This window comes from Homo sapiens, chromosome Y, assembly GCF_000001405.40.
Source record: "Homo sapiens chromosome Y, GRCh38.p14 Primary Assembly".
NCBI lineage: Eukaryota > Metazoa > Chordata > Mammalia > Primates > Hominidae > Homo > Homo sapiens.
Window position 1 is genome coordinate 16,115,356 of NC_000024.10, and position 27,992 is coordinate 16,143,347.

Genomic DNA, 27,992 nt, shown 5'->3' on the forward strand with positions numbered 1-27,992 from the left:
CTGTTGTTTCCTGACTTTTTAATGATTGCCATTCTAATTGGTGTGAGATGATATCTCATTGTGGTTTTGATTTGCATTTCTCTGATGGCCAGTGATGGTGACCATTTTTTCATGTGTTTTTTTGGCTGCATAAATGTCTTCTTTTGAGAAGTGTCTGTTCATGTCCTTTGCCCACTTTTTGATGGGGTTGTTTGTTTTTTTCTTGTAAATTTGTTTGAGTTCATTGTAGATTCTGGATATTAGCCCTTTGTCAGATGAGTAGGTTGTGAAAATTTTCTCCCATTTTGCAGGTTGCCTGTTCAGTCTGTTAGTAGTTTTTTTTTTTTTTGCTGTGCAGAAGCTCTTTAGTTTAATTTGATCCCATTTGTCAATTTTGGCTTTTGTTGTCATTGCTTTTGGTGTTATAGACATGAAGTCCTTGCCCATGCCTATGTCCTGAATGGTAATGCCTAGATTTTCTTCTAGGGTTTTTATAGTTTTAGGTCTAATGCTTAAGTCTTTAATCCACCTTGAATTGATTTTTGTATAAGGTGTAAGGAAGGGATCCAGTTTCAGCTTTCTACGTATGGCTAGCCAGTTTTCCCAGAACCATTTATTAAATAGGGAATCCTTTCCCCATTGCTTGTTTTTCTCAGGTTTGTCAAAGATCAGATAGTTGTAGATATGCGGTATTATTTCTGAGGGCTCTGTTCTGTTCCATTGATCTATATCTCTGTTTTGGTCCCAGTACCATGCTGTTTTGGTTACTGTAGCCTTGTAGTATAGTTTGAAGTCAGGTAATGTGATGCCTCCAGCTTTGTTCTTTTGGCTTAGGATTGACTTGGTGATGTGGGCTCTTTTTTGGTTCCATATGAACTTTAAAGTAGTTTTTTCCAATTCTGTGAAGAAAGTCATTGGTAGCTTGATGGGAATGGCATTGAATCTGTAAAATACCTTGGGCAGTGTGGCCATTTTCACGATATTGATTCCTTCTACACATAGGCATGGAATGTTCTTCCCTTTGTTTGTATCCTCTTTTATTTCATTGAGCAGTGGCTTGTAGTTCTCTTTGAAGAGATCCTTCACATCCCTTGTAAGTTGGATACCTAGGTATTTTATTTTCTTTGAAGCAATTGTGAATGGGAGTTCACTCATGATTTGGCTCTCTGTTTGTCTGTTGTTGGTGTATAAGAATGCTTGTGATTTTTGCACATTGATTTTGTATCCTGAGACTTTGCTGAAGTTGCTTATCAGCTTAAGGAGATTTTGGGTTGAGACAATGGGGTTTTCTAGATATACAATCATGTCATCTGAAAACAGGGACAATTTGACTTCCTCTTTTCCTAATTGAATACCCTTTATTTACTTCTCCTGCCTAATTGCCCTGGCCAGAACTTCCAACACTATGTTGAATAGGAGTGGTAAGAGAGGGAATCCCTGTCTTGTGCCAGTGTTCAAAGGGAATGCTTCCAGTTTTTGCCCATTCAGTATGTTATTTGCTGTGGTTTTGTCATAGATAGCTCTTATTATTTTGAGATAGGTTCCAACAATATCAAATTTATTGAGAGTTTTTTAGCATGAAGGGTTGTTGAAATTTGTCAAAGGCCTTTTCTGCATCTATTGACATAATCATGTGGTTTTTGTCTTTGGTTGTGTTTATATGCTGGATTACATTTATTGATTTGTGTACATTGAACCAGTCTTGCATCCCAGGGATGAAGCCCACTTGATCATGGTAGATAAGCTTTTTGATGTGCTGCTGGATTCAGTTTGCCAGTATTTTATTGAGGATTTTTACATCAATGTTCATCAAGGATATTGGTCTAAAATTCTCTTTTTTGGTTGTCTCTCTGCCAGGCTTTGGTATCAGGATGATACTGGCCTCATAAAATGAGTTAGGGAGGATTCCCTCTTTTTCTATTGATTGGAATAGTTTCAGAAGGAATGGTACCAGTTCCTCCTTGTACCTCTGGTAGAATTCGGCTGTGAATCCATCTGGTCCTGGACTCTTTTTGGTTGGTAAGCTATTGATTACTGCCACAATTTCAGCTCCTGTTATTGCTCTATTCAGAGATTCAACTTCTTCCTGGTTTAGTCTTGGGAGAGTGTATGTGTCAAGGAATTTATCCATTTCTTCTAGATTTTCTAGTTTATTTGCATAGAGGTGTTTGTAGAATTCTCTGATGGTAGTTTGTATTTCTTTTGGATCGGTGGTGATATCCCCTTTATCATTTTTTATTGTGTCTATTTGATTCTTCTCTCTTTTTTTCTTTATTAGTCTTGCTAGCGGTCTATCAATTTTGTCGATCTTTTCAAAAAACCAGCTCCTGGATTCATTAATTTTTTGAAGGGTTTTTTGTGTCTCCATTTCCTTCAGTTCTGCTCTGATCTTAGTTATTTCTTGCCTTCTGCTAGCTCTGAATGTGTTTGCTCTTGCTTTTCTAGTTCTTTTAATTGTGATGTTAGGGTGTCAATTTTAGATCTTTCCTGCTTTCTCTTGTGGGCATTTAGTGCTATAAATTTCCCTCTACAGACTGCTTTGAATGTGTCCCAGAGATCCTGGTATGCTGTGTCTTTGTTCTCGTTGGTTTCAAAGAACATCTTTATTTCTGCCTTCATTTCATTATGTACCCAGTAGTCATTCAGGAGCAGGTTGTCCAGTTTCCATGTAGTTGAGAGTTTTTGAGTGAGATTCTTAACCCTGAGTTCTAGTTTGATTGCACTGTGGTCTGAGAGATAGTTTGTTATAATTTCTGTTCTTTTACATTTGCTGAGGAGAGCTTTTCTTCCAAATATGTGGTCAATTTTGGAATAGGTGTGGTGTGGTGCTGAAAAAAATGTATATTCTGTTGATTTGGGGTGGAGAGTTCTGTAGATGTCTATTAGGTCCTCTTGGTGCAGAGCTGAGTTCAATTCCTGGGTATCCTTGTTGACTTTCTGTCTCGTTGATCTGTCTAATGTTGACAGTGGGGTGTTAAAGTCTCCCATTATTAATGTGTGGGAGTCTAAGTCTCTTTGTAGGTCACTCAGGACTTGCTTTATGAATCTGGGTGCTCCTGTATTGGGTGCATATATATTTAGGATAGTTAGGTCTTCTTGTTGAATTGATCCCTTTACCATTATGTAATGGCCTTCTTTGTCTCTTTTGATCTCCGCTGGTTTAAAGTCTGTTTTATCAGAGACTAGGATTGCAACCCCTGCCTTTTTTTGTTTTCCATTTGCTTGGTAGATCTTCCTCCATCCTTTTGTTTTGAGCCTGTGTGTGTCTCTGCACATGAGATGGGTTTCCTGAATACAGCTCACTGATGGGTCTTGACTTTTTATACAATTTGCCAGTCTGTGTCTTTTAATTGGAGCATTTAGTCCATTTACATGTAAAGTTAATATTGTTATATGGGAATTTGATCCTGTCGTTATGATGTTAGCTGGTTATTTTTCTCATTAGTTGATGCAGTTTCTTCCTAGTCTCGATGGTCTTTACACTTTGGCATGATTTTGCAGCTGCTGGTACCGGTTGTTCCTTTCCATGTTTAGCGCTTCCTTCAGGAGCTCTTTTAGGGCAGGCCTGGTGGTGACAAAATCTCTCAGCATTTGCTTGTCTGTAAAGGATTTTATTTCTCCTTCACTTATGAGCTTAGTTTGGCTGGATATGAAATTCTGGGTTGAAAATTCTTTTCTTCAAGAATGTTGAATATTGGCCCCCATTCTCTTCTGGCTTGTAGAGTTTCTGCTGAGACATCTGCTGTTAGTCTGATGGGCTTCCCTTTGAGGGTAACACAACCTTTCTCTCTGGCTGCCCTTAACATTTTTTCCTTCATTTCAACTTTGGGGAATCTGACAATTATGTGTCTTGGAGTTGCTGTTCTTGAGGAGTATCTTTGTGGCATTCTCTGTATTTCCTGAATCTGAATGTTGGCCTGCCTTGCTAGATTGGGGAATTTCTCCTGGATAATATCCTGCAGAGTGTTTTCCAACTTGGTTCCATTCTCCTTGTCACTTTCAGGTACATCAATCAGATGTAGATTTGGGCTTTTCACATAGTCCCATATTTCTTGGAGGCTTTGTTCGTTTCTTTGTATTCTTTTTTCTCTAAACTTCCCTTCTCACTTCATTTCATTCATTTCATCTTCCAATGCTGATACCCTTTCTTCCAGTTGATTGCATTGGTTCCTGAGGCTTCTGCATTCTTCACGTAGTTCTTGAGCCTGGTTTTCAGCTCCATCAGCTCCTTTAAGCACTTCTCTGTATTGGTTATTCTAGCTATACATTCTTCTAAATTTTTTTCAAAGTTTTCAACTTCTTTGACTTTGGTTTGAATATCGTCCTGTAGCTCAGAGTAATTTGATCGTCTGAACCATTCTTCTCTCAGTTTGTCAAAGTCATTGTCCGTCCAGCTTTGTTCCGTTGCTGGTGAGGAACTGCGTTCCTTTGGAGGAGGAGAGGTGCTCTGCTTTTTAGAGTTTCCAGTTTTTCTGCTCTGTTTTTTCCCCATCTTTGTGGTTTTATCTACTTTTGGTCTTTGATGATGATGATGTACAGATGGGTTTTTGGTGTGGATGTCCTTTCTGTTTGTTAGTTTTCCTTCTAACAGAGAGGACCCTCAGCTGCAGGTCTGTTGGAGTACCTGGCCGTGTGAGGTGTCAGTCTGTCCCTGCTGGGGGATGCCTCCCAGTTAGGCTGCTCAGGGGTCAGGGGTCAGGGATCCATTTGAGGAGGCAGTCTGCCCATTCTCAGATCTCCAGCTGCGTGCTGGGAGAACCACTGCTCTCTTCAAAGCTGTGAGACAGGGACATTTAAGTCTGCAGAGGTTACTGCTGTCTTTTTTTTTTTGTCTGTGCCCTGCCCCGAGAGGTGGAGCCTACAGAGGCAGGCAGGCCTCCTTGAGCTGTGGTGGGCTCCACCCAGTTCAAGCCTCCTGGCTGTTTTGTTTAGCTAAGCAAGCCTGGGCAATGGCAGGCGCCCCTCCCCCAGCCTCATTGCTGACTTGCAGTTTGATCTCAGATTGCTGTGCTAGCAATCAGCGAGACTCCCTGGGTGTAGGACCCTCCGAGCCAGGTGCGAGATATAATCTCATGGTGCGCCATTTTTTAAGCTTGCCAGAAAAGCGCAGTCTTCGAGTGGGAGTGACCCAATTTTCCAGGTGCCATCTGTCACCCCTTTCTTTGACTAGTAAAGGGAACTCCTTGACCCCTTGCACTTCCCGAGTGAGGCAATGCCTCGCCCTGCTTTGTCTGGCACATGGTGCGCTGCACCCACTGACCTGCGCCCTCTGTCTGGCACTCCCTAGTGAGATGAACCTGGTACCTCAGATGGAAATGCAGAAATCACCCATCTTCTGTGTCACTCACTCTGGGAGCTGTAGACCAGAGCTGTTCCTATTCAGCCATCTTGTATCTTGGCTCCTCCCCGCCCTTGTTTTATAAATTGTTATTGGACTTGCCTCAATGTCATTAGAATGCCAAATAATGTTACCTTAATATTCTTATTCTCAATTTAGGTTTTCTTAAAAACCTGATTTGAGTTATCTATGTTGCTTACATTGATTTATGTTAATTATGCACCAGTATCACAGTCAGTAACCATTAAGGTTATAAAAATAATACAACTAGGTTTCTTATAAAACTGAATTATGATATACCATGTCAACATAAGGAATTGAGTTCACTGTTATACCCAAAGAAAAATAAAAATGTAAACATAGGCAAAACTATATTAAAACCCTTTAAAATTAGTTTCAAATATTGAATTAATGTCAGCTTCTTCACTCTTCATAAAAAGAGTAGGTGGATGCTATTTTATTTTTCATTTCAATAAATTAAGAAGCACAATTTTAAAGCCTATGACTTAAATAGACTATACTAAGTGAGCCAAAGAGACTCAACTGTTTATTTACCCAAGCAAATTAAATTAACAGAAAAATAGAAAAGACAAAAAACTAAGAGAAGAATAAAGAGAATGAAGGGGCCCAACGGAAGATTTTGTAAGAGGGCCAGGCACAGTTGCTACATGCCTACAATTCTAGCATTTTCGGGAGGCAAGGTGGACTGGACTCTTCAGGAGTTAAGACCAGCCTGGGCCACAAGGCAAGAACCTATCTCTACAAAAATTACAAAATTACAAAAATTAGCCAGGAGTATTTTTGGCAATGTGCATCAGCGTTCCCAGCTATTTGGTAGGCTGAGGTGAGAGGATCACTTGAGCCTGGGGAGGCTGAAGCTGCAGTGACTTATGACTACACCACTGCACTCCAGCCTGAGTGACAGAGCAAGACCTTGTCTCAAAACAAACAGAAAATTGTTTTTAAGAGAAGTGGAACAAGAAGAGAAAAAAGATGTCTAAAGATACATCTCAAAAGAAAAAAAATACATAATTAAAACAGAAAGAAAACATCTTCAAAGAAAAAAATGGCAAAAATCATTGGGAGCATATTATTTCTAAAAATATAAAACATGATACAGAAACAAGTATTAATAGATGAGTTGTCAGAAATCATTGCCTGCACAAGATAATAACTTATGAAATCTTCAAGGTGTAGGTTTAAGGAGAGATATCAGTGTTGGTGTGTACGTGTAGCTTGTAAGATTTCTAGACAAGCAAGCAATCAGGTTTTAAATTGTATTTGAAAGGATTAGATTCAACTGCCTGTTAAGACTGTTTAGGAAAAAATAAGAAAATGAACACTCAGGCATCTATAGAGAACGTGAAAGTTTCAGAAAGGGTAAAATAAAGTATCTACAATCGTGCTCTAAAAGAAATATGGAGAAATGTCAAATAAAAAACAAAATTGTGTTGTCTAACAAAAGCCTGTGTTTCAAAACCTGGAAGTGGTATCAGGTATCATAGGACTACATGGTATCACATATCTTAGGGATATAAGGTCATGTTAATAAGTAACTTTTGGGGTAGCAAACACAAGCTAACTAAATCCAAGGAACAACCTCCTTGTAATCTGTTAAATTCTGGTGAACATGGCAGAGAGTTTCTGCCTGATACACATAATATATTCCCAAGATTTTTATAATGTAACTTTCATTTTTACCTTAAGTTTTTGAGAAGGGGCCAGAGTAAGAAAATAATTTCACCCGTAGCCACTAAACCCAATACAATTTACCTTTTTTTCTGATGTAATTTGATCTTCAGAACCAGCTCCTAATGTTCTTCCAAGAAAATGTGTAATTCCAGAAAATTTCTTACGTAGCCACATATACTGGATACAATGGACTTCCAGACTTGCCCAGACTTTTCTGAAACTTTAGCTGAAACAAGGGTAGAGTGTCAAGTTTCCCTGCTCAACAAAAACAATTTTACCTACTCTCCAATTAAAGGATTTCCAGTAGGAAAAAAAAAATGACTACTCTTAAACAGGTTTCAAGCTCATGAGAGGCATAAAAGAAATAGACAAATCTATTATGAAAGACTTGAATGCCATTCATGTTTAAACCCTAAGGCATGTGAAAGATATGTGTAAATTAAAAACCATCACATACATTTATGTTGTAATTTGTTTTCCTCTATAGTGTTAAATTTCACTATGCAACTCTGGAATTGCAATTAATTAGGCAACATTTAAAGTATATACAATTTATGGAAGGGAGTTGTTTTGGACTTATGTCCTATACCAGGTCCCAACAGACCAAATTATAATAGAGTCACTCATACTAAGTGCTACATAACAAAAGTGAAATTTTAAGGAAGGTGGAAGATTTTAAACCAATTAGTTTCACTTAAGAACAGGTAAGTTACAGCAACTAATCAGAAAGGGCCCAGGTAACCTAAGCCAGCATATGTCCTCTCTGCTTTAAACCTTACAAGAAAAATGACCTGAAGTAACCTGACATTTACTAATCTACTTCTTTAGATTGTTCTATTCATTTGTTCCCATCTTATACAACCCATTGTTGTGTCATGCACAGTGGGAGCTCTTTTGTTTTGAGGCAGAGTCTCACTATGTCACCCAGCCATGAGTGCTGTGGCATGATCTCAGCTCAGTGCAATGTCCACCTCCTGAGTTCAAGTGATTCTTGTGCCTCAGCCTCCCAAGCAGCCGGGATTACAGACTTGCACCACGACACCTAGCTAATTTTTGTAATTTTAGTAGAGACAGGGTTTCACTATGTTGGCCAGGCTGTTATCAAACTCCTGACCTCATGGAATCTGCTGGCCTTGGCCTCCCAAAGTGCTGGGATTACAGGTGTGAGCCACCACACCTGGCCTGGAGCTTTTATTGTATTTTAGAGAATGGGTTGCTACCACTTCATAAATTGCAAATAAATGCCAATTAAGTCTTAAAATAAATTTGGCCTTTTTTTTGTTTATATGTGTTTTACAAAGTGTGCACGTTTTGTGCATGCATTTTTACTGTATATAAGTTGTATTATATTATCATTATTTATGTTAAAGTAATGCTAGCTGCCATCATAGATAATGTCCAAACTTTGGTAATGGAGCACAATAAAATTTCTTGTTGACAAAAAAAAAAAACTATGTGTTATAATTTTAATTTTTGATGGAAGAATCCCAATGAGAAAGCTTTCTGCAAAGGCATTGAAAAGGCTGGAAAAAGCAACTGCTATGTGACAAAGAAGTAAAAATTATTCTAATGTGAAAAACGCTGTATTCTGAAATTCTATTCTGTTTTATATATTGGGATAACTTCGTAACTTGAATATATTGAACAATTGAGTTATATTATCTAATCAAACTTTGAGCCTATCACAAAATTAGCCCCCTACTTCCACCCCAGGGAGACAATGCCACTTCTCTTAGTATAGCCCAACAGTCTAGGTGCTGGACTTACCTGGCAGGACTTGCAATCATGGAAATCAAGGCCATTGATGGTCGAGCTTCTGGAAGAAATGTGTCAACTGCAGAATCATGAGGTTCATAAATTGTGAAAGGGGAACTGTATTTCTCATAATGGGTTGCAGCCTGCAAATTGGTCATCTCAAAGGCTGGGAAGTATAGCTTCTGGAAAAACCTGAGCGAGAGAACATTGAGGGAGAGAATAATAAAATAATAATTTATGCTGAATGGATTGGCTAAGTGTATATATATTCAATGAGCTACAAGAAGAGTCATAAATATTTATGAAAGGAGAAACATGCACACGCACAGCTGAGCTTCATTCCTCTTCATTAAGAAAGTTTATTAAGAAAGTGAAGGAATAAAAGAATGGCTACTCCATAGACAAAGCAAACCTGAAGGTTACTGGTTGCCCATGTTTCTGGTTATTTCTTGATTATATTCTAAACTAGGGGTGGATTATTGATGGCTTCCTTTGTAGATCATATAGGGGAACTTCCTGATGTTTCCACGGCATCTAAACTGTGATGGCACTGGCGGGACTGTAGCAGTGAGGACACACACACAAAAAAAATGGTGGGCTGAGTGCCATGGCTCATTCCTGTAGTCCCAGCTACTCAGGAGGCTGAAATGAGAGCATAGCTTGAGCCCAGGAGTCAGAGGCTGCAGTGAGCTGTGATTGCACCACTACATTCAAGTCTAGGTGGCAGGTGAAAACCCTGTGTCACACACACACACACACACATCAGGATGGGAACAGCATGACATGGGGGTGAAGTTGTCAGCCCTCTGATGTTAAAAGGTGAAAGAGAACACACAAAAACACTCAGTGTGCATCCTCCATGACAGGATGGTCAGGTTTTAAAAAAGGATGCCTTGTGAAATTAGTAAGCTGTCATTACAAAATTGTAAAGAGGGAGAGAGGACTAGTGGTGACCTCCGATGACTGACTAAGGGCCAAAAAAGAAGTCCTGTCCTCTGTTTCTTGTTTCCAAAGCTGGTTCCAGTTTACTACTTAGGAAATAATTCTGGTTAAAGGTTAACAAGAAAAGGGCATACAGAGGCAAATCCAACCTCCTATCCAGCCAGGGGTGAGAACTGAGTTTTGAAGCCTGGAGTCCCCATGTCCAACAGGGGGTCCATTCAGTTAATTAGGGGGATTAGGATTTTACTTTTATTTCTCAGAAGAGATATTGAATTACTTGGATTTTAACCTCCTTTCTCCTTTCAGGTTCTACCATAGCCTCTCATTGTTACACAAAGAGGGTCCCCATCCAGACCCCAAGAGAGGGTTCTTGTATCTTGTGCAAGAAATAATTCAGTGTGATTCCAGAGTAAAGTGAAAGCAAGTTTATTAAGAAAGTGAAGAAATAAAAGAATGGCCACTCCATAGACAAAGCAGACCTGAAGGTTACTGGTTGCCCATTTTTATGGTTATTTCTTGATTACATTCTAAACAAGGGGTGGGTTACTGAGGGCTCCCCTTTTAGATCCTATAGGGGAACATACTGATGCTTCCATGGCATCTAAACTGTGATGGCACTGGTGGGAGTGTAGCAATGAGGGCAAGCACATGTCACTCTCATTGTCATCTTGGTTTTGGTGGGTTTTGGCCAGCTTCTTTACTGGAACCTGTTTTATCAGCAAGGTCCTTATGGCCTATATCTTGTGCCTATCTCCTATCTCATACAGTGACTTAGAATGTCTTAACCATATGGGAATGCAGCCTAGTAGGTCTCAGCCTCATTTTACCCAGCCTCTCTTCAAGATGGAGTTGTTCTGGTTCAAATGCCTCTGACACCATTGACTGAAATCAATTAAAGATACCTCTTGGCGATGGACCATGGAATTGCATGTGAAGAGAAATAAATGTGAGAATGGCTGTTAGATCAAAGAAAGAAAGGACCAACATGCAAAGACTCACAAGGATTCTCTACCAGACCAAACTTTGGTGCGGCCTCTTTGAACCCTCTTTTTCACCTGGCCTTGTTGTTGCTCCATGCCTGCTCTGTAGCCTGTTAGCTTAGTTTTAGCAATGAATACTGCAAAAACAGTTCATCAAGAATCTTCACTCCCCTACTCTTGATCTCCAATTAAGCTCCTCTTCCTGTACCCCTGATGCCTTGCCAAGTTCCTCTGAGTAAGTTTCCATCCAACCTCTCACTCTACCTGTTGGCTATTTTGATGTAATACCCCAAAATATGGCATTCTGATGTGCTGAAGTGATGAAGCTTCGAGGTCTTTCTGACCTTCCACACACACTGTGTCTCCCAAAGAAGCAGAAGTTCCTTTAGCTGCTAAGATCCAGTCCCACAAAGGAGAACAAATGTTTTTACTTCCACTCCAAATTATCTCATTGTCTATTGCAGAAAGGAAAACCAAGATGTGACCACACCCAAGCAGACCTTACTTGACAAGTATAATGACTGTCTCCAAGGATCATTCAAATTTCAAAAAGAAGTACCCTATCAATCATTTATTTCTCCACAATAGATTTCCTCTTCTCCTCTACCCATTATCTGTTTTAGTAGGATCCAAGTCCCCATTCTTTCTATAACCTCAAGATGGTGTAATAAGCTTCTAAACGTCATTGTGTGTTTTGGTCTTCATTCAAAAGGAATGAAGGAATATACACATTAAATAAATCTGGATGCCTTTCAGAAAATCTGCCTCATGTCAGTGATTTTTCAACAAACCTTTAAGGGACCAGGAGTCTTGCCCCCCACACTATCTGTCCCTTAATGCTAGTACATTCAGAATTGAGTTCTATTTCTATCCGCTACTGAAATAGTCTTGATCCCTCTTGCAACAACTTTGAGTAAAGGCTTCCTTGCCATTTTTAATAAGTGTGAAATATATATATATATTTGTGAGACAGAGTCTCACTCTGTCACCCAGGCTGGAGTGCAATGGCATGAGCTTGGCTCATTTCAACCTCTGCCTCCTGGGTTGAAGTGATTTTCCTGCTTCAGCCTACTGAGTAGCTGGGATTACAAGCATACCACCAAACCTGGCTAATTTTTGTATTTTTAGTACAGATGGGGTTTCACCACATTGGCCAGGCTGGTCTTGAACTTCTGACCCCAGGTGACTTACCCACCTCAGCCTCCAAAAGTGCTGGGATTATAGGTATGAGCCACCACACACAGCCAAATTAAAGTGATCTCATACTCAGTGTCCCCCAAGCCCTGTCAGATACAAACTCATATGCTCCCACAGGCTTTGGCACAATCTCACTGAAACAATTAATCAAATCATAGACTGTTGTACCCCAAAATTGTGAAATGCACACAAAACAAAAGCAACATGAGGGAGAGACTGCAGGGATAACAAGCAAATACACAGTCTTCAAATACCTGCATGAATACACACAGATTTTTTTAAATGCATATGTGATACCAAAAAAAATCCACTGATCATGACCATAATTTAAAGTTATTATAATTTTTAAAATCTTGATACTGACAGAGCAGGAGCATCACCATCCTATAGAAGCCCTTCATTCTAAAGTTCACCTTAATAAAAAATCTCTTAAATCTAAAGGATATCAGGCTAATGGCTAAGGTCAGCACAACCATAAACTACAAACAACATCTCCAACCAGAAACGTTCCAAATTCTTCCCCGACCAGAAACATGCTAGCCCTGAGATAAACCCCATTCTGGCTGGGAAGATGTCTGCCCCAAGAGAACCCCACTCTGGACCGGATAGATGTCTGTCCTTCCTCCAAGAGAAACTCCAACCCTGCCATAAACTCCTCCCCATACATTCCAAGCTTATGATAAGCCCCCTTGCCCCAAAACCAATATATGCTCTTAGTCTGTAAGAAAGTGCTACTGATGGAGATCAGCCAGGAGCCCCTCTCAGGTTTTATCTGAAGAAAACCTGCCTTTAACTGCCAAACCATGTTTCATATTTTTTTCCTCTTTCTTTAACTTTTACATTTGGTGCTGAAATCCAGCTGTGTATTAGGGGCAGAAGCTCTCCTGCAACCCAGGAAGCAGTCGGCAAAAGCAGCTCCTCCTGAGTTAATTGCTACCCTGTCTTTTCTCTCACTTCACTTTCTCTCTCTCTCTCTCTCCTCTCTCCTCACTCTCTTTCCTCTCTCCTCTCTCTCTTTTCTCTCTCCCTCTCCCTCTCCCTCCCTCTCTCCCCCTCCCCTCATGCAGCTTCAGCTGAAGAGGAGCTTTGCTGATTCCCTCCAGAACATCCAACAACATACACTAATCCAGATCCAGCTGGTAAGATCTGCCCTCCCCTGACTTTCCTGTGATATCCAGGAAAAGTAAGTTCTGCCATCTGGTCCTCAGTGAACAAGGCGGACTAAACCAGAGGAAATCTTGGGGACGTCCAGTTTCTTCTCAGCTGGACTGTCCTCTTAGAAAGAGGATTCTGGGTCTCTGTCTTTTCTCTGTAACTGCATAGAAAAAAAGCAAGACACTTTTGGCTTTTTCTCACCAGTCCATATGGGTGCCAAACAATCCCACATTCCTACATCCTCTCCACTTTGCTGTCTCCTTCACAACCTTGCCAAACTTGGCTTAAGCATTTAGTCTTATACTATAATATGGCTTGACCCCAATACACAGTGGATAATGGCAGCTGATAAACCAAAATTGGTGCCTTTAACTTGCAAATTCTCAGGGACCTTTACCAGGGATGACAAATGACAAGAGTTTCTCTACATTCAGGTTTTCTTCTACTTCTACCTTAAATCCTACCCCTCCCTGTGTCAAGCTTGCAACTCTCATAAAGTCTTTCTGCTTAATAAAAATGTGCCCTGGGCCTCTCCTTCCTCCAAAATTCCTTTTGACCCTGCAGATGAACCCACTCTGTATTATTATCCCCCTGCATCTGCTCCTCATCTGTCTGAACCCTCTGCCATGGTGGCCCTTCCTGCCTCCAAGCCTTCAGCCCCAAACTCCACTCCTCCTCCTTCTCCACCTGTTACCCATTCAAAAACCACCTCTGCCATTCTCTCTCTGGGAGTTAAAGGCAATACTTGCATTCGTGTCCATTTCTCCACATCTGAGTTGCTGCAGATCAAAGCTGTAAGTATATTCAAATGGCCTTTATATTTTCTCTTCATCAATCTTGTTTTTCTGGAAAAGGTTTTTTCCCAATTAACTAAATTACTTCTCCCCACTCTATCTTGTCACTCTTGGAGCATGTATAAAAAACCCTAAAATGACTTCTGGTGGCCTGGGGTCCTTGGAAAAACAGAAAAGGCGCCACAAATCCTATTTTAAGAAAAAAAAATCTGTTTTTCTTATGGAACTCCATGAATTCAACGTAAATAAGTACCCCTCAAAATCTGTCTTTGTCTTTTAGCTATACTTGTTTATTAGGTCCTGGAAGCCATTTTCATAGCCCTGTTCTTAAAGGGCCTCACCAGAATTCCACTATTCTAATTGGGAAATTAGCAGAAAAAAAAATCTTATATCCACTGAATCTTCTTTTGGTTGTCCATGTGGCTATGTATGTGTTATCTGTGCAATATCTATTAAAAGAGCTCTAATTAATTGGCCTAAGAAAAATAAGCACTTAAATATTTTTAAGGAAAAGGTAAAAGCTGTGGGACCTTTCAGTTCCCATGACTTTAATCTTTAAAACGTACTGTTACAGTAAAGTTAGAAGTGTCTTAAAAGTTGCCAGCATCTATTCTTTTTTGCATTTGTTAATCAGGCAAATTCATAATTATGGCTGCCAAATACAATAACATGTCAAAATTTGACAGAGAGGCTACAAAACTATAACTCAGCCCAACCAAATAATCTTTGCTTGTATAATTTTTAACAAGTAAAACATTAATATTGTTTTAATGAAGATAGCTACATCTTAAACTATATAGTAAAATACCTTAACTTCTAATCTTGTGGCCTTAGTCAGTCTAGTCCACAAATGTGAAGGAAGTTTGTTTTGGAAAAGAGCTTTTATCATCTTGAGCATTAAAGAAAACAGAATTTGTATAAAAAAGAATCTTATATGGTAAATTCTTGTCCTAAAGCAAGTTAACTTGTTGTTTAAAGAAAAGTGTGTTTACAACAAGTCAGAAAGTTGAGGCATGTCAGAGATTGTCTGTGAAACTTGTAAATAAGTTTATAAAACAGAATTTATGCCAAAAATGTTGTACAATTTAAAAATTAATAGGTCTCCTGAATGCTTTATAAAATGTCATTATATCACTTAGCTGTACAACTTGTCTGCATTGAAGCAAGGTAAAACTTAGGACACATTAAATGCTGGGATAAGCCAGACTTTATCTGCACTTCTGTCTAGGTCCTAGGCTCTACAGCTAGAACATAATTAGATCCCAAACTTATCAATGTTATTAACAAAGGTAAATGTTGCTAAAAGTTAACAGCATAACATGCATTTAAAACTATTGAACAGACAATTTATAAGCAAGGTGTGTAAGGAAAGTAAAACACACTTTTGGTAAAAAAATTGTAGGGAAGCATAAGAATGTGGATTGTTACTTACTTTAAAAGGTTAAAGAATTGTTTTGAAGGTTTAAGCAATTTTGGAACATTAATTGTAAAGAAAATTCTGTGTGTAAACATATTGGCTAAAGTTAAAGGGGTATCATCCAGTTTTTCTGTAAATTGAGCATTAAAAGCACAACAGGTTTTTCTAACCTGTTCTTTAACAAAATTATAAAGGGTTAAAAATAGTCTATAAAAATCTTACTTCATGGTCAGACATTAATATTGGGTAAATGCATATAAAGGTTTTATTAGAAATTGAGTTTAACATTAATAGCACACTAATATAAAGGTAAAATCTGGCTTATTTGGTATAAAATCACACAGGAAACATTGTAGAATATAAAATGATGTTTGGCTTTCTTTGGGCTATTTTTGTATAAATACGTTTTGGTATGTGTCCCAAACTTATGGAGACTCCTATAATTCTGATACATCTTACTGGGAATTATCAGTATTAATTATAATTGTTATGTTAAAATTATTGTGTGCCACAGAGGTAGCAGATATCCTTGTCACTTGTGTCTTTAACTATGGCTATCCTACAACTTTTTGTTATCCATAAACAATTGTTGTCTTGTTTTGGTACTCTTTAAAAGGTGGTTTAATAGTTAGCTGTGAAGTTCTAACAGGTGCTCTTCAATGCAGGTTTCTGATAATTTTGGAGAATGTAACATCAGAATAGAAGAAAAACTTTCAGGACTTTGAAGAGCTAAAATGTTAATTAATATCAAGCAGGACAGGAATTAACTGCATGAATTTTACTAATGGGAGACTGAAGTAATCTTTTTAATGCTTTGCTAATCCTTTATTTTGCTTTCCAAAGTCAAAAAAAATTTTTTGGGCTATTAATAGCTTTTAACAATTTAGTATATTCCCATAAACAAAATTTGGAGCAACTTTTTCTCTCTACCTGATTTTCTCTTGAATTTGGAGACTATCTGTGAGTATTTTTAAGTTATGGTAATACAGTTATTTGCATACATGCAATATGGATCTGTTTTCATTTGCAACGGGACACAATTGGAGAAACTGGTTATTGTACCAAGACTTTGACTGAAATTGTGTGCTTTCCTTAAAGGCATCAAACTTGGCTTTATGAAGCTAATAAAGCCTTTGGAAAACTTGCCTAATATTTCGTGTACACAGTCCCTGTACAGGGTTTCTGATTTGTGGGAAATAAAGAATGTCACTTTCTAGCAGGCCGGGAACCTCAAGTTATCTTGGGACCTCAAGAGGAGAGGAATTCACCCAACTCATAGGTATTTGATGGTACAAATCCATGTCTGGGCTTGGCTTTAAAAAGTTCTTATCTCAGATCCCTTCTACGGAACAAAGTTCCATCAAAGCCAATATGAAGGGCCTATATAACAAATAATTATTCTTGCTGCACTATATGCAAATAAGCCAAGTATAATAAACCAAATCAGTCTGACAATGATTTGTCTTTTAATAAAAATGGGAAACTGGAGAGAGAAAATTATGTTTCAGAAACTATAGCCACACCTGTTGTTAAACCCTAGTATTGCCTAATATTTCTCAGTTTCTATTATATTCTATCATTTAAATTAAATTCTATTTTTTTTTCTGGCTACAAGTTTCCAAAATAAACTGTGCTTTTTTTTAAAGCCCTATGAACTGAAAATTAGATGTTTCAGCAGGTGCTGCCTCTAAGCCCTTCGAGTATCACAAGAGGAAATGTATTCACTACTGGTGCTGATAACTAATAACTGAGGATGCCCAGAATCCTTCGCCCCCTCATCTAGTGAGTCAATGGAACCCAGTGTAATTAAGACAATATCTGTTACAGGAGTAAACTCCTGAATACATCACGCTTGAGTCAAAGCCTGGAAAGCTGTTGAAGCAACCTCTGGCAGCCCAAAGGAATGTCCTAAATATCAATGTAAATAAGCAGAAAATCATAAAAAAAAAAAGTAACTGAGAACTACTCATCTTACTCAGTCCTACCCCTTCCTCACCAACACTTTTTGTCATTTCTACTTCTATTTTTAAGCCAGATATTAAAACTTTTTCATGAAAATTATTTACTACACCACCGTTGTGGGAAGTGCTTTACTCACTCTACTGTTTGCAGTAGGACTATATATATATATATTGTAGCACCCTCAGGATGGAATATCATACAGAAAATCTCAATTACTGTAGCATTTTGTTTAATTATTTTTTTCACAGCAAGAATAATGGTTACTAACAGAAAATAACACATGAGCCTTTCTAAACATGCACCTCTGCCTTTCATTTTGTAAGGAATGTTGTTTCTGTATCAACATATTGGGCCTAGTAGAAAACTTAAAGAAAAGGCTTAAAAGCTAAGGGAGTGCCAAAACAACCAAATGAATTCTTGGTTTGGGAACAAAATCATAGCATGCATCATCTCTTTCCTGGGTCTTCTCCTAATAATATGCCTAGGCCTAACATTCTTACCCTGCCTATTTAACCTTTTTCAAATATTTTTAACTAACAGGATCATGGCCCTTTCATAGACAACCATCCAAAAATATCTGCAGATGGCATTGCTCCTACAGTCAACCAGAGACTGGGGGACTCTCTGCTCCTCATCAGCAGGAAGTTGCCAGTAAGAACACATCATCCTTTTTATAACCATAGGGTCTGGGTTGACAGAGCAGGAGCATCACCATCTTAGACAAGCCCCTCATTCTGAAGTTCACTTTAATAAAAAAACACCTATATTCAAAAGGCATCAGCCTAATGGCTATGGTCAGCATGACCAGGAACCACAAATAAGATCAAACCAGAAACATTCCGAACTCCTCCTTGTCCAGAGACATGCTAGACCCAAGAGAAACCTGGTTCTGGGCTGGAAAGATGTCTGCCCCAGGATAACCTCCCTGCCTCTCAGAGAGATTCCAACCTTGCCATAATCTTCTCCCCACACGTAAACATTCCAAACTTGTGACAAGCCCTGTCACCTTAAAACCAATATATACTCTTAGTCTGTAAGAGAAAGCACTCCTGGCTAAAATCAGCCATTTCTCCTGGCTAAAATCAGCCAGGAGCCCTTCTCAGCTTTTATCTAAAGAAAACTTGACTTTAACTGCCAATCGGTATTTCATGTTTCTTCCCTCTTTAACTCTTAACAGATACATCATGGTGCATATCCATTTAGAGTGTTAAACTGGATGTAACAAAAGTTGTATTCAAGAAACCCAGTTTGTCATGGGAAGCTTCAAATAGATTTTAATTTGGACATACAGGAATCCAGCGTTTAACTTTTTTCTTACTCTTGTACATTTATTTTATTATTGGTGTTTTCTGTTATAAAAGTAACTATTGTTGGTAAATTTATATCGATATCCCTACCATTTTCCTTTAATGTGCTATACAATATTATTTTTTATACAGGTGAGCATGGGTAATTGTGTTAAGTTGTTTTATTGCTGCTGTAAGATGTTATCACAAGCCTGATGACTTAAAAAAACACAAATCTGTTTCTCTGTGGACATACAAGCCAGAAGTCAGAAATAAGCCTTACTGGGCTAACATCACAGTGTCCACATAGCTTCAAGAGGCTCTAGGGTATAACTCCTTTTCTTCTGTTGTTGAGTGTGCGTGTGTGTGTGTGTGCATGTGGGTGTGTGTTTTAACCATGTGGAAATACAATCTCAACAAGGGTACTGTAGAATAGGTTGTACTGAGTAATAGAAAAATTAATAATCTTACTAATTGAGCTGAGGAATTGTCCCAAAACATACAAACATACACGTTGTGTGTATATGTGTGTATTTTTTAAGGGCAAGAAAGAAAGAAGAAAGAAAGAGAGAAAGAAAGAAAGAAAGAAAGAAAGAAAGAAAGAAAGAAAGAAAGAAAGAAAGAAAGAGAAAGGAGAGAGAGAAAGAAAGAGAGAGAGAAAGAAAGAAAGAGAGAGAGGAAGAAAGAAAGAGAGAGAAAGAAAGAAAGAGAGAGAAAGAAAGAAAGAAAAAGAAAGAAAGAAAGAAAAAGAAAAAGAAAGAAAAGAAAGAAGGAGAAAGATAGTATCAAAGGAAATAATAGTTTATCATTTATCATAACTAGGGAAAGACAGGTGTTCTACCAAGACTGCTCACTTGGAACTGTGCAAATTAAAAAAAAAAAATCAAAGAAAGAAGCAAATCAACCCAGTTGGGCATAATTTTGTGAACCTTATTAAACCAGTACTAAAGAATAAAATCCTTAAGCTTCCAGAGCAAATACCATACACAAACACACACACACACAAACACCGCTTATACTACATTCAGGTGAACAATAATCCCATTGAGATTAGTTATTTCTTATATATTTTACTGAAAATAACTTTCCTATTACTACTGTAAACAGTAATCTCTCTACCTTGCCATAAATAGACATCAACAAAATATATACTATATTCTTTATTTTAAAAAATATTTTATCAAGTATCTGTAAGATCAAGGAAATATATATTGGTATGACAAATCCTGTGATTAAGAGTATGTCTCATCACAGTCACTGTCTGATATGTTTTGGCTGTGTCCCCACCAAAATCTCATCTTGAATTGAAGCTCCCACAATTCCCACATGTCATGGGAGGGACCCAATGGGAGGTAACTGAATCATGGGATTGGGTCTTTCCCATGACATTCTCAAATAATGAATAAGTCTCATGAGATCTGATGGTTTTATAAAGGGGAGTTCCTGTACATAAATTATCTTCCCTGCTACCATATAAGACATGCCTTTCCTTCTCCTTTGCTGTCTGTCATGATTGTGAGGCCTCCCCAGCCATGCTGAACTGTGAGTCCATTAAATTTCTTTCCTTTACAAATTACCCAGTCTCAAGTGTGTCTTTATTAGCAGCATGAGAACAGACTAATACACTGTCATAGGCAGAAAAGTGGTCCCCAAAGATGTCGACATCATTTTCTCAGGAAACTGTGTATATGTTATGTTCCATGACTAAGGGAATTATGGTTGCAGATGGAAGTTGATAGGCTAAACTTAAAATAAAGAGGTTATCCTGCATTATCCAAGTGGGTTATACATGATCCTTAAAATTGAAAGAAGGCATAAGAGGAAGAAAACAGCCAGATGTTGCTGCCTTTGAAGACATTAGAAGGGACCATGAAAAGAGGAATAGCAGCAGCTTCTAGAAGCTGAAATATGCAAGGAGACAAAGTCTCCCGTATGGAGAGAACCTAGCTATTGAAACACCTTGGTTTCAGCCCAGCAACATTCATTGAGGACTCTGGACTTTCAAAACTGTAAGATAATAAATTTTTGTTGTTATAAGACTTCAAGTTTGTGGCAATTTGTTAGAGCAGCCAGAGCAAACTACTTCCAGCCCACACACATCATGCCACAGAATTATGTACCTATCATTCCCTCCATTTATACACAATTTTGCTCCATAGACTTATATTCATTGTATATTCTTTAGTGGTTTTAACTCCACATGCTTGGGATCACATTGGGTACCCTCCTGTGGAACATGATTTTCTCCATAAGCTTTATCTGTCTGTGAGACACACAGAGACTTAGATATAGTTACGTCATTTCTCTTTAAGTCATCACTATATCATAAGTTTGTTAGCTTGTTTTTAGGAGGACAGTATATCCTACAGATGGTACATCTTCCATAGATGCCGTATTTAGACACAGTTTAGTTACTGTTAATCTCTCACCTGCTAACAGCTGCATTGAAACTGCCTTTGCAAAAACTATTATCAGTGAGAAAATTTTAACATTAAGCTAAGCTAACTCAACCCCCATCTTGCCTTTCCCTTAATTATTCCTAGGCTATTGGGACATGATGACTTTGGAAGACATTTAGGCTACAATTTTGTTTTGTTTTGCTTGAGACAGAGTCTTGCTCTGTCACTTGGCTGGAGTGCAGTGGTGCAATATTGACTTACTGCAAACTCCACCGCCTGGGTTCAAGTGATTCTTGTGCCTCAGCCCCCTGAGCAGCTGGGACTACAGGCATGCACCGTCAAGCCCAGCTAATTTTTGTATTTTTAGTAGATATGAGATTTCACCATGTTGGGCATAATTGTCTCGATGTCTTGACCTCATGATCGGCCTGCCTCCGTCTCCCTGAGTGCTGGGATTACAGGAGTGAGCCACAGCACCCAGACTAGGCTACAATTTAAATGATAATAGGTCTTGCCCCAAACACACTTTTGTAATGCTGATGGGAGGCCATCAGCCTGGGAAGAGGGGAGAAGATTGACACCTGCAGACATAAAGGATTGTCAGCTGTTATTTCACAGGTCATAAGATATGCAACTTCTCCAATTACTCCTGCAAATAAAACAGTACTGCAGATTGGCCTTTTAAGATATCTTTCTCGGTTTTTTGCATGCTAGACACTCATAACTCCATATGGATCAACAACCCCACTTCTGAGGTCCCACCCAGAGGTAATTTGGTCCAGCAGGAGGACAGCCTCAATGCCCTATGATTTCATCTCCACCCCATCCAATCAGCAGCAGGCACATGTTACCTGGCCACCCCCACTTATTCCCCCAAACTGCCTTTGAAAAACACCTAACTTAGGTGCTTTGAATGTGATGATTTGCATAGAACTCCACATCTCACGTGGCATGGCCAGCCTCATGTTTATTAAACTCTTTCTCAACTACAAAGACATGACCTTTCTTTATGCAGTGGGCTGGAAGAACTTCTCAGATGGTTACGAGGTGAGTTCTACCCATTTTAATGCTCTCATCAACAATGTCGATAAAAATATAATCCTACATGTATCTTTAGGAAATATAGCCAGAAGGCAAAAGAATGAGTTTATGATGTATATTTTACTTTTCAGATAATTCCAAATTGTTCTACAAAGATAATACAATAAAACACACTCTGATTCATAGTATGTGAGTTGATGTTGTCCTCTAGGTAGACTTCATACCTGTTGTCAGATTGCTAAATACGTGCAATCTCACAGGTTTAAAATGGTAAGGTTTTAAACTTTAGTTTTATTTTTCAAGGTACAGATGAGATTGATTATATTTTGTTTGTTGGCCATAAATATTTTATTGTCTTCAATATAGTATTGAAACTCAAATAATATTTTATGGTTTTTTAAAATTGAGTTTTGAAGAATATAATGTATTTCACATATTTATCTTCTGATTTTTATGTTTAGGTTAATAAGCTATTTATACCCCAAATAGAAATACATTGGAAAGTGACAGGATACACTAGTATTTCTCAGCAATCTGGGACATATAGAAGCCTAAATTTTTATGCATATAACAACTGTTAAGAGCATTTAAAGTTTTAATGTGAAAACTTAATCATTGTCTTTACTTATTTTATATTTATTTTTATTCTTTATTTAATAAATATTTGGCTGGGTACAGTGGCTCATGTCTGTAGTCCCAGCTATGGGGAGGCTGAGATGGGAGGCTCACTTGAGCCCAAGAGGTGGAGGCTGCAGGGAGTCATGACTGTGCTACTGTACTCCACTCTGGGCAACACAGCCAGACCCTGTGTCTTAAAAAAAAAATTATATATATATATATGTAAATTCATTTAATTTGATGTCATCAATATATTCTACATTCTTTTTTTAATATTTTAAGGTTTTATTTTACACAAGATATATCTTTTTACTTGCTTTTCTTTTTCTCCCAAAAGCAACATCTAGTCCATTGCAGATGATATGAAAATACTTACTTCATGTCAATTTACAATGGCCCAATATTATTTTTTCCAAAGAGTATAACTGCTCATATCATTGTATCATTATACCAGCAAATAAATGGGAAGGCACAAGATCAATTATTAAGATCTCTCTGGAAGTGAATTTTTAAGGTGTGAATTTTTTTTTTCCCTAGTATCCTGGCACTATTTGATAAAAAAATCTTTCTTTTATCCACTGTTTTGTAATTGCATGTCTCTCACATGTTTCCTAGTTCTAGTAATAATCACTCTTATTTAACCCATCAATATTTAATCCCTCTGTATTCACCTTACCGTCTTCATTACTACAACTTCTGGAATCCTTGGCACACTTCTGGATAAGTTCTGATCTTTGCATTCATCTTCAGAAGACTGTTTTCTGTTCCTGTTTCAGCTAAACACAATAGATCCACTTTAATCCTAAAGTGATTGCAATGGTGTATAAATTCAGTGGACAAATGAAGGAGTAGGCTTTATGCTGACTTTCTAGGTGAGATTACCAGAAAAATTTCTATGATCACTAAAATGTATATATATTTTTTCCTTTGCTATGATTTTAAAAAGCTAAAATTCTGAGAGGCATTGTCCTCTAGTTGACATAGACAGACCCAGTATGTCTCAGTTCATTCAGGCTGCTATAACAAAAACACCATAAACTGCATGGTTTATAACCAACAGACATTTATTGCTTACAGTTCTGATGGGCAGCAGTTGAAGATTAAGGCATAGCAAATTCACTGTCTGGTGAGGACCCACTTTCTAGTTCGTACCTGATGCCTTCTTACTGTGTCCTCACATGATGGAAGGGACAAGGGAAACCTTGGGGATGTTTTTTAATAAGGCACTAATCCCATTCACAAGGGCTTCACTCTCATGATGTCATTACCTCCTAAATTTCCCACCTCCTGATACTTTGAAGATTAGGTTTCAACATACAAATCTAGGGGGAAACAAATGCTAAAATCCATATGCAGATTCAAATGCATGCCATACTCCACTTCCTGTTCTGCCACTCAGTAGCTACAAACAGAATTATTATAGTAATATGTACTATAATTGTTGCAGAAAAACTGAACTCACTCCTAACCATGCTAGCCTGCAGAGGCAAAAATTCCAAATGCAATTGTTTTCCTACAGCTTCATATGTTACAAGGATTTGTCTGCTTAGTGGAAACCAGATCATGTTTGGCCTCAAGTTGTAAATACAGCAACATGTAGATTTTAGAATTTTAAATAATGCAACAAAATCTATGCAGTGTTAGAAGGTGCTAGTCTTTATTAAGTGAGATAATTTGTTCTGTACTTTCCACAGGGAAATCTGTGGGGAATTTGATAGCACATATGTGTGATTTAAAATGACATTAAAGAGGTAGGATTTTCTTAAACATGACTAATTCATATGCTACACAATATAGAATCTTATTTTTCTCCTCAGGTTTTTGTATGGGCCCTCTGTGACCTAGGTTGGATTGTAGTGTTGCAATCACAGTTCACTGTAGCCTCCAAATCCTGGGCTCAAGTAATCTTCCCATCTCAGCCTCCCAAGTAGCTGGAACTATAGGCATGCATCACTATGTGCACCTAATTTCTTTTAAAAAAATATTTGTTTATTTGTTTGTTTGGTTGGTTTTTTTGTAGAGATGAAGTCTTGCAATTTTGCTTAGGTTGGCTCAAACTCTTGGCCTCAAGTGATCCTCCCACCTCACTTCCTGAAGTGCTAAGATTACAGGCATAAACCGCCATGCCCAGCCCTCAAATTGTTCTTTCATTTGTTAGCTGTACTTTATAGGCACACACATGCATATCTTCATATGCACACGTACATGCTTGATACCCAAGCACATATACATGTACATTATAAATACTATGTTTCTATTTTACCTATATACATATACAGCTTCATACAAATACTAATATAGTTAGCAATATATTTAGTTTTAGTATAAGTTATATCTTTTTACAGTGTTAATATAAATTGTATCTTTTGAAAATCACACGTTGTTGCTGTTATAGAATACTCTCTATTTTTAAGATTCAACTATTCCAAGTGTATAAAATCTGTGTTGATAAGCTGCAAGTGTATGTCTCCAACAGTAAAATGCCTGTAAAATCCAACCATAAAATTTTTACAGTAAAAAACAGTAAAAATTTGCAGAAGGTGAGAATAATATCTTAAAAATATATTTTTCCCTGACGTGGGCGGTGAATGTAGGATAGAATCTTTTGTCACAGCGTTGCCAGGAAATTGACAGTTGGACAGTGGTCACTCAGTGAAAAGTAAAGTGACTGGAGATAGAAGCTCAGCCTTCCTTTGGTTTTGTAAAGTACAACAAGTTGTATTAAAAAGCATGAAGACTAAACTTGGAAACCAGTCAGGGGTGTTTTGCTTCCCTCATAGTGCTCACATTCCAAGTTCATCTTCAGCTAGGCTACACACGATTAAATATAAGAGCACCAAGAAACTAAGACAATTTTGTATTCCCATGTAACTGAGTAATTTGGATTAGCAGCTCTTAAAATTATTTTGTTCTGAGGATTACTTTTATTAATGTTCTCAAGGCAAGTTTATTATGTTATTCCTTGTCTTTGGTACAAAACTGATAAAAAGTAAGCTTGACTTAAGTGGAGAAGAACAATAGTGATCCCTTGGTTAGGGAAGAAAATAAAAAAATCAAGCACTTCAATTATTTCATGGATATTAGTTATTTTAGGACGTATAGATGTTGAAAACTACTTATTTAGGCTTACATTTTATGTTTAGAAATGCAAGAACAGATTGTTTCATTTCATTCTGTTTGTATTGCATTTGATTGAGAATTGATGTGTTTTGCCGAAGAAGGTTTTTGTTTATTTCGTTACTTGCCTACTTAAAATTTTCAACTTTCCTAAATAATCCATAGGATTATTCCATAGGATTATTCTCCTTAGGTGCCTAATCTTTATCCAAAAGATATATATATATATATATTATATATATACACATTTACAACTGTAAATAAAGACACATGCACACATATGTTTATCAGGGCAGTGTTCATAAAAGCAAAGACTTGGAACCAACCTAAGTGCCCGTCAATGATACACTGGAAAAAGAAAATGTGGCAGAAATACACCATGGAAAACTATGCAGCCACAAAAAAGATGATTTCATGTCCTTTGCAGGGACATGGATGAAGCTGGAAACCATCATTCTCAGAAAACTAACACAAGGACAGAAAACCAAGCACTGTATGTTCTCACTAATAGGTGTTGAACAATGAGAACACATGGACATGGAGAGGAGAACACCACACACTGGGGACTGTGGGGGCGGGAGTAGGGGAGGGATAACTTAGGAGAAATACCTAATGTAGATGATGGGTTGATGCATGCAGCAAACCACCACGGCACATGTATACCTAGGTAACAAACCTGCAACTTCTGTTCACGTATCCCAGAACTTAAAGTATAATAATTATTTTTTTAATTTACAGTTGTATACCCAATATTAATCCACTGATGTTGATCTTTGTTTCTGCAGTTGATTTTGAAGCATGTGAACAGCCTTAGTATTTTTGATCATTTCTTCTGGAACTTTCTCTCATTAAGAAAATTAGACTGTTTTCTTCTTTCTGTTCGTTTACAATGGCCTAAAAAAGTATAACCAGAAAATAGTTTCTAATATAGATATAATTGTAACTTAATAATTTAAATTAGAACACTATTTTACATTCAGAGTATAGGATTTCTGTTGTAAACAAAAAATATATTTTGCAGAGTTAATTTCTTAGTAGTTATTATAAAAGACTTAACAATGTAACTTAACAATTTAATGTTTTTAAATTTTAAACATATATACTCCTATTTTAACTGACTTTGTTACCACTGTAGTCTCTGAGAAGCATTCTCTTCGAGAGACCAATAAGAGAGCCTTAGATTTTTCAAATGAAAAAAAAATAAATAAAACACCAACAATGAAAAAACAAAAACAAAAGACATAAAACTATCAATTCCAAAGCAAGAAAAGAGAAGAGGAAATATTACCATTGTTGAATAATGCCCATTATGTTCCATGCTGCATCTCCTCATATAAACCTTAGCTGGAAATTTCTTATCTAAATTTCTAGCTATGTTATTGAGAAACAGGCAGAAATGCACCATGTTGTAGTAATTTATTACTGTTTCTTCTACGTGTTTGTGAGTTCAACCTTTTGAAATGATGCATGGCCTTTCTACAAAGAGACTGTTCTTACTGATGTTGATTTAATTACATGGACAAACTTTAACTGCTGAAAGATAGTACTCCAGCCATTTGATGCAAACATAGATGCCTCTCTTATTGTTTATTATAAAATATCCCATTAAACTTCAAAGCTGACAGAATTAATTTTACCTCTTACTGTTTTCTTGATGTAATGCTAGAACTTTAAGCACTTCTTCACCTTCCTCCTCCTCCTCTTATTCCTCCTCTCCCTTCCCCTTCCTCCTTTATTTTCTTCCGCCTTTATGTTCTTCCTCCTCTTTCTCTGTAAAAAAGTACACTATCAACAGTAAGAAATTTATTTCTTTTTTTTTCTTTAGACGAATACTTTGCTTATTCCCTTGGAACAAATTAAGATAATTTCCCATACTTTAAATATTTTTTATCAAAGGGAAAATAAATGTATAAGAGGATGATAGAAAATACCTATCCAGAAAGTTAGAAAAAAAATAAGATATGTGTTGGCCGGGCTCAGTGGCTCACTCCTGTAATCCCAGCACTTTGGGAGGCCAAGGCAGGCAGATCACGAGGTCAGGAGATCAGGACCATCCTGGCTAATATGGTGAAACCCCATCTCCACTAAAAATACAAAAATTTAGCCAGTTGTGGTGGCAGATGCCTGTAGTCCCAGCTACCCACGAGGCTGAGGCAGGAGAATGGTGTGAACCCGGGAGGTGGAGCTTGCAGTGAGCTGAGAAGGCGCCGCTGCACTCCAGCCTGGGCGAAGGGTGAGACTCAGCCTCAAAAAAAAAAAATAAAATAAAAATAAAGAAAGAAATAAGATATGTGTTTAAGAGGGCCAGTTTTTATATTAA

General features: G+C 37.7%; 1 non-coding gene across 1 annotated transcript; it reads right to left on the bottom strand.

The window, feature by feature from the left end:
• Positions 1–22,892: 22,892 nt before the first annotated feature.
• Positions 22,893–23,024, bottom strand: LOC124900508 (small nucleolar RNA SNORA20). Its single transcript, XR_007068486.1, has one exon. It is a non-coding gene; the product is annotated as a small nucleolar RNA SNORA20 (small nucleolar RNA).
• Positions 23,025–27,992: the final 4,968 nt, after the last annotated feature.